Here is a 1444-nt window from a genome sequence, read left to right as displayed (position 1 = left end):
ATGCTTGCATGCATCATAATCAAGCAGGTTATATTATGGCTATTAGGACCACAAACCATGTATGACTGGTTGTACAAAAGATACCTAGAAATAAAAGATGAGGATCATCTAGAGTCTAAAATAGTCTCAGAATAATTCTTCCAGAAACATCTATGTGGACTTTTATATCTGGGTTTGGAGGAAAATGGCAGAATATATTAGCACATGTACCATTCACAATTTAATTCAGGTTTCTTTATCAGTTACTTAATAAGAAAGCAATCATGCACTTATCTTCTGATGTCTATACTGTCACTAAAAAATAATATTAAAAAATAAAACCTCAAAATAGGAAGTGAAGAGAGTTCTGTTTCATTGTCTATTAGAGGTTAAAAAAAATAATTCTACATATGTTCTCAATTCAGCCTCATAACCACCTAGGATTTAACTCTTGGTATTTCCATTATATAGGTAATAAAAAGGAGATACAGAAAAATAAACTGATAACTATAGTAAAGATAAAGGGGTAGTGACATCAATAAAAATGGTAAAGTACAGATCCACAAAAATCTTCCCCTCCACTAATGCAATAGAAACAAGGGCAAAAAAAAAGCAGAATCAACTTTTTCAGAATTCAGTTAGTTAACTAAAGACTTGTGGCAATCCATGGAGCATTAATTAAAAATACACATAAAAAACCCACTACATCTCAATAACAGTGAGCTTTGTAGCCATTTAACTAATTATATTCCTGTGTTTTTCTCCAAGGTCTGAAATAGCCACGAAAAACAAAAGCCAACAACCATGGTGATGACCACAAACTGTGCAGCCACGTGAAGGGACAAAAGAAAATTAGAATGCCTTCAACACTACATCACAAAGAATTGTCCTTATCTAACATTTCTGGTTCCCTGAAAGATCTCACTTGCAAGGAATCAAAGAGAGTTCCCAATGCCAGCAGATTTTTCCCAGGAACATTTGTGAAAAATGTGAAAAATCATAGTCTGAGGCAATTGTTGCACACTCTAGCTTCCTGAAGTGGTAGATAACAATTAGGGAAAACAATAGACTAAAAAATGCTTAGAAAGAAATTCTGGGGAACAAATGACTATGGAAGGCTTTGAACAGCACTAACATATTGCTGGTAGTCTTGAAGGTCATATGCATGCATAAGGCTGTTTGTATGCCCAGGGTTATGCTTATATTCACGAAAGACATGTGGATGGTCTAAGCTCCCACTTCTGGTTGATCTGAGGCTCTGCACAAGAATTAAGTGAAGGCTAAGATGAAGTTGTTAATTGTCTAGCTTAGTGTTAAAGGTGTGCCTCAACATTCATGCAGCAGAGTCTCTTAGCAAAGACTGGGAGACATACTGTTTCCAGACTTTGAAGAAAAACTTTGTCCAATCACTATCTGACCTCTAATCTAACTGAGCAGACTTCAGTGGCCACACAAAACAAAGAAT

At 35.5% G+C, this 1444-nt stretch overlaps 1 annotated feature.

Annotated features, from left to right (window-relative positions):
* Window positions 512-1093: an enhancer, noted in NCBI's record as "OCT4-NANOG hESC enhancer chr16:60934428-60935009 (GRCh37/hg19 assembly coordinates)". NCBI's record gives its function as "activates a minimal SCP1, AML or CMV promoter by ChIP-STARR-seq in naive H9 embryonic stem cells {active_cell/tissue: H9 hESC(naive)}" and the evidence as "EXISTENCE:reporter gene assay evidence [ECO:0000049][PMID:30033119]".

This window comes from Homo sapiens, chromosome 16 (assembly GCF_000001405.40).
Source record: "Homo sapiens chromosome 16, GRCh38.p14 Primary Assembly".
NCBI classification, from domain to species: domain Eukaryota; kingdom Metazoa; phylum Chordata; class Mammalia; order Primates; family Hominidae; genus Homo; species Homo sapiens.
The sequence above is the reverse complement of the archived record's forward strand: the minus strand, read 5'-3'. Positions and strand labels throughout refer to the sequence as shown.